Below are 12,207 nucleotides of genomic sequence, written 5' to 3'. Positions count from 1 at the left end.
GTTGGGTTGGGCCTCATTTTTTTCCCTTTTTTATACCTTAGATTGCAAACATCCTAGATAGCCATGCAGCTACATTGAACCGGAAATCTGAACGGGAAGTCTTCTTTATGAATACTCAGAGCATTGTTCAGCTGGTACAGAGGTAGTAACTTGTAACTCCAGATTCCCAGACCTGTCCATACTCATGTCTTCCTTTCTTTCAAGTGGTCACAAAAAAATTTACCTCAGATTTGACTTCAAGAAATTGGAAAGCATCTTATATCTTAGAAAGTACCTTGTCTTTTCTAAATATCTTAGAATTGTGAGCTAACTCTCATGCTCAATATTTCTGACTTCTTAATATTCTACATTTTTTTCTGTCAATTATTTATTATTATTATTATTTTTTGAGACAGGATCTCACTCTGTTGCCCCGACTGGAGTGCAGTGGCTCAATCATGGCTCATTGCAGCCTCAACCTCCTGAGGCTCAGGTGATCCTCCTGTTTCAACCCCTCTGAATAGCTGGGACTATAGCTGTGCACCACCACATCCAGCTAATTTTTGTATTTTTAGAAGAGCTGGGGTTTTGCCATGTTGCCCAGGCTCATCTCAAACTCTTGGGCTCAAATGACCCACCCGCCTCGGCCTCCCAAACTGTTGGGATTACAGGCATGAGCCACTGCGTCCAGCCTGTCAATTAATAAGGCACAGAAATTTTGTTGTTTTCTTTTTCCTTGCCATTTTGATGAAGCTCCTAATTTTTCTTCTGTCACAGGGCCCAGTATGACATTTTTTCTTCTTAGCTTATGGAGCCTATTATATTAGGTTGGTGCAAAAGTAATTGTGGTTGTTGCTATTAATACTAAAGGGATATTCACAGAGCATATTTATTTATTTATTTATTTATTTATTTTTTTTGGAGACAGGGTCTCACACTGTCATCCAGGTTGTAGTACAGTAGCACAATCTCAGCTCACTGCAACCTCTGCCTCCCAGGCTCAAGCAATCCTCCCACCTCAGCCTCTTGAGTAGCTGGGACTACAGTCACATGCTACCATGCTTGGCTAATTTTTTTGTATTTTTTGTAGATAAGAGGTTTTGCCATATTGCCTAGGCTGGTCTGGAGCTCCTAGACTCAAGTGATCCTCCTGCCTTGGCCTCCCAAAGTTCTGGGATTGCAGATGTGAGCTAAGGCAACCGGCCTCACAGAACACTTTTAACTTTAAGATACTTATAAATTTTTCAGATATCTCAGCCATTTCAAGAGTATGGTAATAATTTCTACTTAGCAGTAGGAACTGAATCAAGGTGTTGGTAGGTGGGGCTATGCAGGATTTTGTTGTCTTCTTTATTAAAAAAGGTCTTGTCTATAGTGAGATTTCTTTTAGGCTTAGAATTTAAGTTAATTTTGTAGTTCATTTTAGGCTGTTCTTTATTCAGAGGGAAAGCAGTTCAGTGGAATGTCGTGGAGGTAAATTTGGCCTTTGGGTTTATTGCTTAATAGTGTTGGATTGTCAGGTTTTTCAGTGGAGACTTTCTATTTGCCTAGGTACCGAAGTGGCATCCGAGGCCACATGAAGGCTGTGGTGATGGATCTGCTCCGGCAGTACCTGCGAGTAGAGACACAATTCCAGAATGGTAAGCCTCTTCCTGAGGACTCTCTAGCTAAGAAAGCCTTGATTCTGATAACCAACCCAAACTATCCCTATAGGACTGTGTAAGAGCTAAGCCCCCTCCTGTCAACAACACTTCCCATTAATAAACAGTCTCCTATCACTACTCCCTTAAAAACTAAACCTCTATATCCACTAGCTCTAAAGAAAGAACAACGAAACACAGCTTGATGAAATTAGGAATCCAGTGTGCTTCTGAGAAAGGGCTGAAGTAATTTTTCTAATAGAGATTACCATTCCTGTTGATATCTTTTTGACCTTGTGTAGTGTAAGTTGGTTGAGTCATCACAGGCTGAAATTGAGAAACCCATATCTGAAGAGCTTGATTCTTGGCAGCTAATCCATGAATTGAACCAGAGGCATCTAGGAAGAGCAAGTTCAGGTTTTCCAATACTTTTTAGTATATCATTTAGGTAGACTTTATCCCTGGCTTTCTCTGAAGAGCTTCACTAAATGATAAATTGTCTCTTAAGTGTGAAATAACCTTGGCTAAAATTTTAAAGCTGTTTACTGCTGACATTGCTTCCTGCCACAAGATGGCAGTGAAACATCACAGAATTTGAAACATTATCTGAAATTTGAAACATTTTCCTTTATCTGCTCCTTTTCACTTCCTTTAAAAGCAGCCTATGCCACTCATGACCAGCAAAAATCCTCATGTAGATATCAGCAAACCGCATCCAATAACATACAAAATAATACATAACAACCAAGTTGGCTTTATCCCACGCATTCAAGGTTGATCAGTTTGGAGAAAGTCAATTAATATAATTTATCATGAAATAGATGAAAGGAGGAAAAACATGCTCATTATCTCAAGATAACAGGGTGTGGAGAGGGAGCATTTGACAGAATTTAACATCCATTCATGACAAACTCTTGGAAACTAGGAGTGAAATGGAACTTTTAAAATCTTGTAAAAGGGACCCACAAAAAAATCTGCAGGATACATCATGCATTATGGTAAAACGTTGAAAACATTATCTTTAAGATTAGGAATAAGACAAGGATGCCTGCTGTCACTACTTCTATTCAGCTTTATAGTGGATGTCCTAGCCAGTGCAGTAAGACAAGGAAAAGAATTAAAGGGTATAAGAGCTAGAAAGTAATAAAGCAATATATCTGCCATTATTAAATATGATAGGGTGTCTCTTTAGAAAGCCTCAAAGGATTCACAGATTGATTATTAAATTATTTAAAATCTAACATGATTGCTAAATACAAAAGTCAACATACAAAATTCAACAGTATTTGTTTACAGTAGAGCAATTGTTTAGAAAAGCAGTTCAGGAAAAAAAAAATTAAAATAGCAGGCTAGATGTAGTGGCTCATGCTTGTCATCTTAGCACTTTGGGAGGCCAGGACAGGAGGATTGCTTGAGGCCAGGAGTTTGAGACCAGCCTTGGCAATATAGTGAGACCCCATCTCTACAAAAAATTAAAAACAATTAGCCAGGCATGATGGCACATGCCTATAGTCCTACCTACTCAAGAGGCTGAAACAAGAGGATTGCCTGAGCCCAGGGATTCAAGGGTGCAGTGAGCTATGATTGTACCACTGCACTCAGCCCAGGCAACAGAGCAAGACCCTGTCTCTAAATAATTAATTAATTAGTTGATAAAATAGCAACCCAAAACATGAAATACTAAGGAGTAAATCTAACAAAAAATGTGCAAGCCTCTTTTGAGGAAAATTATAATCAAGAATATTATAATAGTAAAGAAGATTTAAATAAATTATCAAGGTCTTAAATTGGAATGTACACTATTAGGTGCCGATTCTTCCTAAATTCATCTGTAGATTGACATTTCAATAAAAATTCTGTTAGTGTATTTGTAATGCTAATTATAAAATTTCCATAAAAGACAAGTCTCACAATAACCAAGATACTTCCAAAGAAATACAAGGTGAAAAGATTTGCCTAATCAGATATCAAGATTTAATATAAAGCCATATTAATTAAGAAATTGTGAGATAGGTGTAGAGATAGATTTATAGATCAGTGGAACTTAATGACCCAGAAACAGATCCAGCCATATATGAAAACTTATTTTATGATAGAGGAGGCATTGTAGATCATGGGGAAAGGATAGATTTTTTTTTTTTCAATAAATGATACCAGCACAATGGGTTATTCATTTAAAAAAAAAAAAAGAGGAAAGAAAGAAATGGAATCCCTATCTTATGCCTATACACAAAAATCAATTCCCGATAAAGACTTAAATATGTACTAAAGAGGTGAAGCTGTTAAATGGTTAGGAGAATATCGTTATAACCTCAGGATAGGAAGATTTTGTTGTATAAGACACAGCAAGTACAAACTACAAAAGAAAAGATTGATTACTTAAACTCCACTCAAGAACTTCTGTTCATCAAAATACGTCATAAGGAGTCTGAAAAGCCTGTAATCCTAGCACTTTCGGAGGCCAAGGCCGGCAGATTGCTTGAGCCCAGGAGTTCGAGACCAGCCTGGGCAACATAGCAAGACCCCGTCTCTAAAAAAATACAAAAATTAGCCAGGTGTAGTGTTATGTGCCTGTAGTCCTAGCTTCTTGGGAGGCTCAGGTTGGAGGATTGCCTGAGCCTGGGGAGGTCGAGGCTGTAGTGAGCTGTGATTGCATCACTGCACTCCAGCCCCGTTGACAGAGCAGGACACAGTCTCCAAAAAAAGAGACTGAAAATATAAGCTACAAAGTGTGAGAAGATATTTACAAAATATATACCTAAAAAATAATTAGAAGTATCTAGAGAATTGGTATGAATCATCAAGTTAAAGACATCCTAATAGAGAAATGGGCAAAAGATATAGAAAGATATTTTACAGAAGAAGAAGTACAAATAATTTATAAACTTACACAAAGATGCTCAATCCCATTTGTAATTAGAGGCATATAAACCAAAACCACAATGAGAGTGGCAAAAATTTAAAAGTCACATCATCATCTTCATTGCTTCTGTACATGGAAGTACAAATTGGTATATACCACTTTGGTAACAGTTGGTCAGTACCTAATAAAGTTGAACTTATTTGTATTCTTTAACCTAGTAATTTTACTCCTAGAAAATATACTTTAGAGAAACTATTACACATGTTTACTAGGATACATATACAGGAGTATTTGTGACAGCACTGTTCATAATCTTAAAAAAGACAAGAAACAATCTAAATATACATAGGTAGAGTGGATCATTGAAGTCTGGTATATTCCTACCATGGATTACTATGCAGCAGTGAAAATGGATGCACCAAGGCATACACTGAACAAAAGGATGAATCTCAAAAATACAATGTTAAGGAAAAGAAATGGTACAGTGATTCCATTTTTTTCAGGTTCAAAAACCAGGAAAATTAAGCTATACATACATTGGTGATAAAAGTTAAGAAAAACAAAAGAATAATTAACATAAAATTCAGCTTAGTAGTTGTTTCTGAGGAGGGGTACGCAGGGGTCTTCAAAGATACTAGAGATGTTCTATTAAAATGTAATGGCTTTAAAATAACACATGGGTGTTTATTTCAACTGATACCATATATTCTATATATTCTTCTGTATATATATTTCATAATTAAACTGTTTTGTTTTGTTTTTTGTTTGGTGTGTGTTCTTTTTTTGTTGAGATGAAGTCTCACTCTGACACCCAAGCTGGAGTGCAGTGGTGCAATCTCTGCTCACTGCAACTTCTGCCTCCTGGGTTCAAGCAATTCTTCTGCCTCAGCCTGCTGTGTAGCTGGGATTATAGGTGTGTACCACCATGCCTGGCTAATTTTTGTATTTTTAGTAGAGATGGGGTTTCACCCTGTTGGCCAGCCTGGTCTCAAATGTCTGACCTCAAGTGATCCACCCGCCTTGGCTGCCCAAAGTGCTGGGATTACAAGGGTGAGCCACCGCACCCAGCCAATTAAGTGTTTTTAAAAAAGAGTGTCTTGGTATGCAGGATCTTCAAAGTAAAAAAAAAAAAAACAAGAAAGTATCATTGCTTTCTTTCTGTTAATGTCTCCCCTCACCCCGGGTAAATGTGTTCTTTTTATTTCCCCTGGTCCTATTGCCAAAGTTTATTTGTGTTGTCACTTCAAAGCTAAGTCTTGGTAGAGAAAAATATTAATGCAGAACAGCTAATTTTTAAACAGCTTCCCTTTTGGTCTAAATGTGTCTTTTATGAAATTGGCAGCTCTCTCGATATTGTAGTCCATTGTTTTTCAAATATAATTTTATTTGGAAAAAAATTGCTTATGTCAATCTCTAATATTTAGAATAATTAAAAGCCTGGTTACACTGGTCCAGTGTACTCAGTGTTCTAGGAAACCATGATAATGCAGTTTGAACGTCACTGTTCTGGTTTGTAACTTAACGTGGAATCTGAACTGAGGTGATAATCCTTTACTGTTTTCATGATTTCATAAAATTCTGACCCTTGAGAATATTCAAACACTAATTCCTCTTTACTTGGAAATTTAATTCTGAGGTAAGCTGTTTTCTAAAGAACTGAATATTACTTATATCCCATGGCAGATATCACTACAGTGTACCAGAGGCTTATGCTTCTGTTGTAAAACATAGCTTTCCTACTCAGAACTAACCTGCCCCTGGTGGCCTTAGGGAAGGCAAGTGAAAATATGCATAACTTTAGTCTCCCTACAGACCTTTTGACTTAATGCAAGGTTCTCCTTGATCTATACCTTGGGTTGGATTTGGCGTTCCTAGGCATTGCTTAGCTGTTTCAAGGACTAACAGAAGAAAATGTTGATTCCAGGGGTAGCAGTCACACTTCTCATGGATATTGCTAAGTTTGGTGTGGTTTTATTTTTTGAGCTAAAACTGTTCCTACTGATTAGGGTCAACTATTTTCTGCAAGTCAAACATGGAATCAGAATCTCAAGCTCTGGGGGAGACCTTAAAGATCATCAAGTTTAATGATATTTACATTTCTTTTTAAACAGAAATTTCTCGTCTAAAGAAATCATGAGAGAGTTTAGAGTAAGACTGGGGTTTGAGTTATTCCCAATCTTTCAGTCTTTAAGGTACACCCACCTCCCCAATTTTTAAAAAATTTAATGAAATTGAGGCCCAGAGAGGTAAAATGATTTTCCCAGGAGCACACAGTAAATTGCTAATAGAACTAGGCCTTGAACCCAGATCTTATATCCAAATTGCCTGACTCCTAGTCCAGTGTTCCTTTTACTAAATCACATTGCCAGTTTCTGTACAAATCCATCCAAGAAAATCCTTATGATGTTTCTTCTCACTGCTCGTCTCATAAATTATAGACAGTACAAAACAAATAGCATGTAAATGTGAACATTTATACATGGGTGAGAACCAGTTCTTTTCATGGTGTGCAGGTCACTATGACAAATGTGTATTCGCCCTCCGAGAAGAGAATAAAAGTGACATGAACACTGTACTGAACTACATCTTCTCTCACGCTCAAGTCACCAAGAAGAATCTTCTGGTCACAATGCTTATTGTGAGTACCATTTTTCAGAACTTGTAAAGACCGTCAATGATATGCAAAAAGTATTTTTTTCCTTTTGATGGCTATGGCCAGAGAAAAAAAACTACTGCCTTTTATAATTATGGGATGAATGGGGCTTGAGCTGTGGATTAACAGTTTCTCACATCTACCTTTGTCCTTGGTCTGAAGGAACCTGCTTTAGTGAGAAAATGACTCTTCTGGCCATTATGCATATACTCATTCACAGGAACTTATACCTCCTAACTCTGTTTAGAAATGCCTCGTGCTTCACCATTCCTGTGGTCATCATGACAGCAGCTTTAAAATTTCATCTTATTTAGCCAATATATTCTAATTTTAACTCTTGTTCCATAGATACAAGCAATGGCTCTCATGTCAAACTTGAAAAAAAATAAATAGAAATCCAGCACTCCCCCTCTCTGACCAGAGAAATTTAAATGTATTCTGCATCTTCATTGGTCCCTTTTTATTTATATTGAAAATCTAAGCTCGGATTATTGTATTGGTAGTAAATGTATGATTTTTTTCCCTATAACTTAGTAAAATAAGAATTAGTAGGAAGTAGGAATAGGGAGTGAGCCTGGTAAGTTTGATGAGAGCTAATGTGCATTCAGCCAGTGGGTGGAATTTTTGTGGGCTGAAGGATTTTTAAAGATGACTTGCAAGTCCTTCACTCCTAGCTCATTCTGGTTGAGTTAGTTGTAGGAATTAGTACAGTAGGACTACTCCTAGAGTCCCTCACCCCATGGTCCTGAGCATTTGCCTTGCTGCTGCATGCCTGTCTTTTTGGGGACTGTAGTGCCTTTTCACTCCTAGAGTTTTCTTTTTGTCTCTTTGTGGAATTGGGATTCTTGGTAAGTTAATTACATCATTTTTTCATGGAGGAAAAAAACATACATCTTCATGCTATTTTTTATTTCTTCAGAATGAAGGGAAACTATCTACCATACACCTCTGATTAACAAGAGTGCCACTCATTCAGTTATATGCCTAGCTGGTTAACTCTAAAGCGTATCACATTTTTTAGAATAGCCACTTTAAAAAATATGTAATTATAGGGAGAGTTCATTGCCTTTGCTACCCTAGAATAGCTAGATGGTAGGGAAACGAGAAAGATGCAGTTGAGAGGGAAAAATATATATGTTAGTACAATGTAATACTTCAACTTCCCCCAAGTGACAGGTTTCAGCTAAGAAATGATACAATCTATGGCAGCTTGCTAATTTTTTTTGTCAGTCAAAAGAAGGAAGAAAGACTATTTAGATGTTTTTTTTAATTTAATGAAAGGATTGTTAAATCTCATTTGGATAAAGCCAAGACTTTCTGTCAGAAAAGGGTAATGATGAGGAGGGTAGGAGAATCTGTCAGTTTGGACCTAGAATGGGGTGGAATTTGCCTTTATAGGAAGCTAATTATGGTGAGTTTTTCTTTTTATTGTGATTACGTTTTTAAGAACTTAACAGTTTTCTGCACTAAAAATAGACCAAAGCCTAGAATCCTTGGAGCAGCGGAAGAGTAATGATTGTCCAAGACTGTCGCTGGGTTTCTTAAATTCTAATTTGTAAGATATAGGGGCTCAGCTCGCTCCTTTTGCGGAGTGATTGTAAGTAACGCTTGCCTTAAGAATCTCATTATTGGAACACGGAGCCATATTTCCTCTGAGAATTCTGGAGTAGCTTTGAGCCAGGGCTGTTCATTTCTCAAGTAATCACGCTGGTGTGATGGAGAGAGAAAATGGCAGCTGTTCGGAGCTCAGGCCTTCAATTTTCTTCAGAGTCCAGTCACTCAAGTGTGTAATTACGCGGGGGGTGCTGCAGAGGCGTTGGGCCCTGTCAGAGAACTGGTTTGAGGCTTTGCTTTCTGCTTTTGCCAGTCAGGACAGGCAGAAGCCAATGGGACTCTGACTTTCCACGCTGTTCTTTTTTTCTCCCACCTTGTCATCCTGATTACTTCTTACCTGCATGGATAGTACCCAGACTTTCTTTCCAACAGGCTGAGCTCTTTAGGGAAAAGAGCTGTTTCAGAGTTTGAGTTTGGGTGAATAGGATGGAGGAGGAGGAGGACAAGGGGGATGGGAAGAGGAGGAGGAGGAGGAGGAGGATAAGGACGGTTGAACATGTGAACCAGGAAGCCAGATTTGTCCCTTTCTTTATTTTGGTGTCATTACATTTTTCTTTAAAAAAAAAACAAAAACAAAATGAGACCCAGTAAACGTAAGAGGATCTCTAAGCTTTCATGTCATTAATTTCTTTTCAAATATCAGTTGTTTTCATTTCATCTTAGAGATTTGGAAATCAAGAAGTTAATGATATGATCAAGCTCAGGGCCAGCTAGCAGTGACTTATGGAACATGGGTAAAAGCTCAAGACGGTGCTCTTTTCTGATCTGATGTTACTGAATGCCAGACATGTCTTCCTCTTTTCCTCTTTGACAACGCTTAGCTGTTCCCCCTTCCTTCTTCCTCTCCCTCCTCCTCTCCCACATCTGCATTAATGGTAGTAGCTGGTAAGAGCCATTTTGGTTGTTTGGATTATTCTTTCCTCGGATCTTAGTATCTTTTACAGATGTCACCTGCACATGGTAGCACTTTGACTCCCCCAGCTTGTGTTCTCTGCTGGTTCCCCTTTCTTTGCATATCTTGGCTTCCTGATTGATGGTTATGTGCCCAGTATTCCATTCTCTGCTTTCTAGAAGTAGGAATGTTGATAGTATGCTTTGCTGAGCTAGATGATGATTTCTGGGGCTTTTGAACCTACAGGGAGGGAGGTATCAAGAAACTCAGGCTTCCGTGAGTCAATGTCATGGGATATGCGTTGCTCTAGTAAAGAGGTACCTTCATCCTCTCCAGGTGTTAGCATAACCTGCCCAGTGGTAACTTGCCTCATGGACTCTCAAGCAGATTTCTGGTAATCTTTCACTCTGTCTGGAAAGCAAAGTATCAGGTAAAAGGCTAAAGTCCTATCAGGTTTCCTCCATTTAAAGGGACATTGTAACACAATTTAACACAAAGTCTGGAAGACCAATAGTACATTTATTTTTTGAAAGCTCTTCTTATTTCTTAAATTTAACTTTATAGGAAAAAGCTTAGAACTCAGAACATTGTTTATGTTTGCTTAGAGATATTTAAGGAACTCTTTAATCTTTAGCCAGATTAAGCTAATTGGTACAAATACAAAGTATCAACATCTTCATAGCTGTCTAGATGGCAATGTACATATCTTCTAGCCACCTTGATGGTAAGTAGTCTTCCCCTCACTACTTGTAACTTATTTTTGATACGGTCCACATGAACATGCTATAAACCATGCTTCTGTATGAGTAATGCCATGCCTATGAACCCCTGATTTGGTTTAGATGGGGAGAATTTATGATGCTGATCAGCACCTTTCCTTCCTCCACTTAACCTGACTGCAAATAATTTTGTCCAATATGTAAATAAAGAAGAAAAGTCTTTCTCAGTGATTCCACATTCACTGAATAAGGGTGATATTAACAATTGTTAAACTTACCCTATGACATTTTTTGGGATATCAAAAAGTGCAGATATGACTAGAAGAAGCTACCAGTTCATTGCTGATCCTGGGTTTAGTGCCTACCCGGCTAAATAATAGTTAATGTCTTGAGGGCATTACACATAAGGTCACATTCTTTTCGTTTTGAATTGCCTTCTAAGATCAAGTTGGACTATGTTGGTTTCTTCTGTCAGTCAACTGTGTAACTTTGGCTATGCTTTTTTTTTTTTTTTTTAAATTAAAGATGTGGTCTCACTGTGTTGCCTGGGCTGCTGTCAAACTTCTGTGCTCAAACGGTCTCGGCCTCCCATCTTGGCCTCCCAAAATGCTGGGACTACAGGCATGAGCCACTGTGCCCAGCCTTGGCTATGGGTTTAACGTTTTATCATGTTTGTTGTATTTCTGCAAATTCGAACTATTTCCTATAGTTAGCTACCATCTAGGTCAAAAGTAAAAGCAAGAAATAACTGTTTTGTACCAGTATGGCTGAATAATAATTTTCACTTCGTTTTATGACTCTGGACAGTTGGAACAGACCTTTGGTTGGTGGATTGGGATGCCAGATTTTTGCAAGTGACCTGTAATCCCAAAATCAGCAGGTTGGCTCTTTAAACAAACCTTTTTATGTTGACTAAACACATCTGCTGACCTAGACACCATCTAAAGGTATCCTTACAAAATGTTCACCAGGATTAGATGGTGATGTTTGTTTGTCCAGTTGCCCAAAAGAAGCCTGTCTCTAGGACAGAGGGTAATAAACTTCCTGTTGGATGTTAGTTGGCATCTTAAGATGGGTGGTTCTGAAAAACCCTGATGTTTTCTTGCAGAACCTGAATGCTGTGTCTAGGTCAGGGACAAGACAGGGTTGAGGAAGTTATTCTATACATAATTTTCTGTTGCCAATTTTTTTCTAAGTATTAATGATGACAGTGGAGAAAATATTTGAATGGAAAACTTCCAAGTCAGAATAGACTAACGAAAATAGTGGTTAATTCATACTGTTTGATAATTACTTCACATTTATTTATTTATTTATTTATTTATTTATTTATTTATTTATTTATTTTTTGAGATGGAGTTTCGCTCTTATTGCCCAGGCTGGAGTGCAACGGCGCGATCTTGGCTCACCACAACCTCTGCCTCCTGGGTTCAAGCGATTCTCCTGCCTCAGCCTCCTGAGTAGCTGGGATAACAGGCATGCACCACTGCACCCAGTTAATTTTGTATTTTTAGTAGAGACGGGGTTTCTCCATGTTGGTCAGGCTGGTCTCGAACGCCTGACCTCAGGTGATCCACCTACCTTGGCCTCCCAAAATGCTGGGATTACAGGTGTGAGCCACCGCACCCGGCCTTATTTATTTATTTTAATTTTATTTTATTTTATTTTATTTTGAGACGGAATTTCACTCTTGTTGCCCAGGCTGTAGTGCAATGACGCAATCTCAGCTCACTGCAACCTCCACCTCCTGGGCAATTCTCTGGCCTCAGCCTCCCAAGTAGCTGGGATTACAGGCATGCGCCACCACGCCCAGCTAATTTTTTTGTATTTAGTAGAGATGGGGTTTC

At 38.3% G+C, this 12,207-nt stretch overlaps 1 protein-coding gene across 26 annotated transcripts in view; it reads left to right on the top strand.

Annotated features, from left to right (window-relative positions):
• ACACA (acetyl-CoA carboxylase alpha) overlaps positions 1-12,207 on the top strand; it is a 321,845-nt gene that overhangs the window by 164,742 nt on the left and 144,896 nt on the right. For all 26 annotated transcript variants that reach the window (XM_011524701.2, XM_006721853.2, NM_198834.3 and 23 more), the window contains 3 exons: positions 42-142; positions 1,531-1,619; positions 6,996-7,120. In XM_011524701.2, the coding sequence (XP_011523003.1) occupies positions 42-142; positions 1,531-1,619; positions 6,996-7,120 (315 nt within the window). The remainder of the gene's footprint in view (positions 1-41; positions 143-1,530; positions 1,620-6,995; positions 7,121-12,207) is intronic.

Source organism: Homo sapiens, chromosome 17, assembly GCF_000001405.40.
Source record: "Homo sapiens chromosome 17, GRCh38.p14 Primary Assembly".
Taxonomy (NCBI): Eukaryota; Metazoa; Chordata; class Mammalia; order Primates; family Hominidae; genus Homo; species Homo sapiens.
The sequence above is the reverse complement of the archived record's forward strand: the minus strand, read 5'-3'. Positions and strand labels throughout refer to the sequence as shown.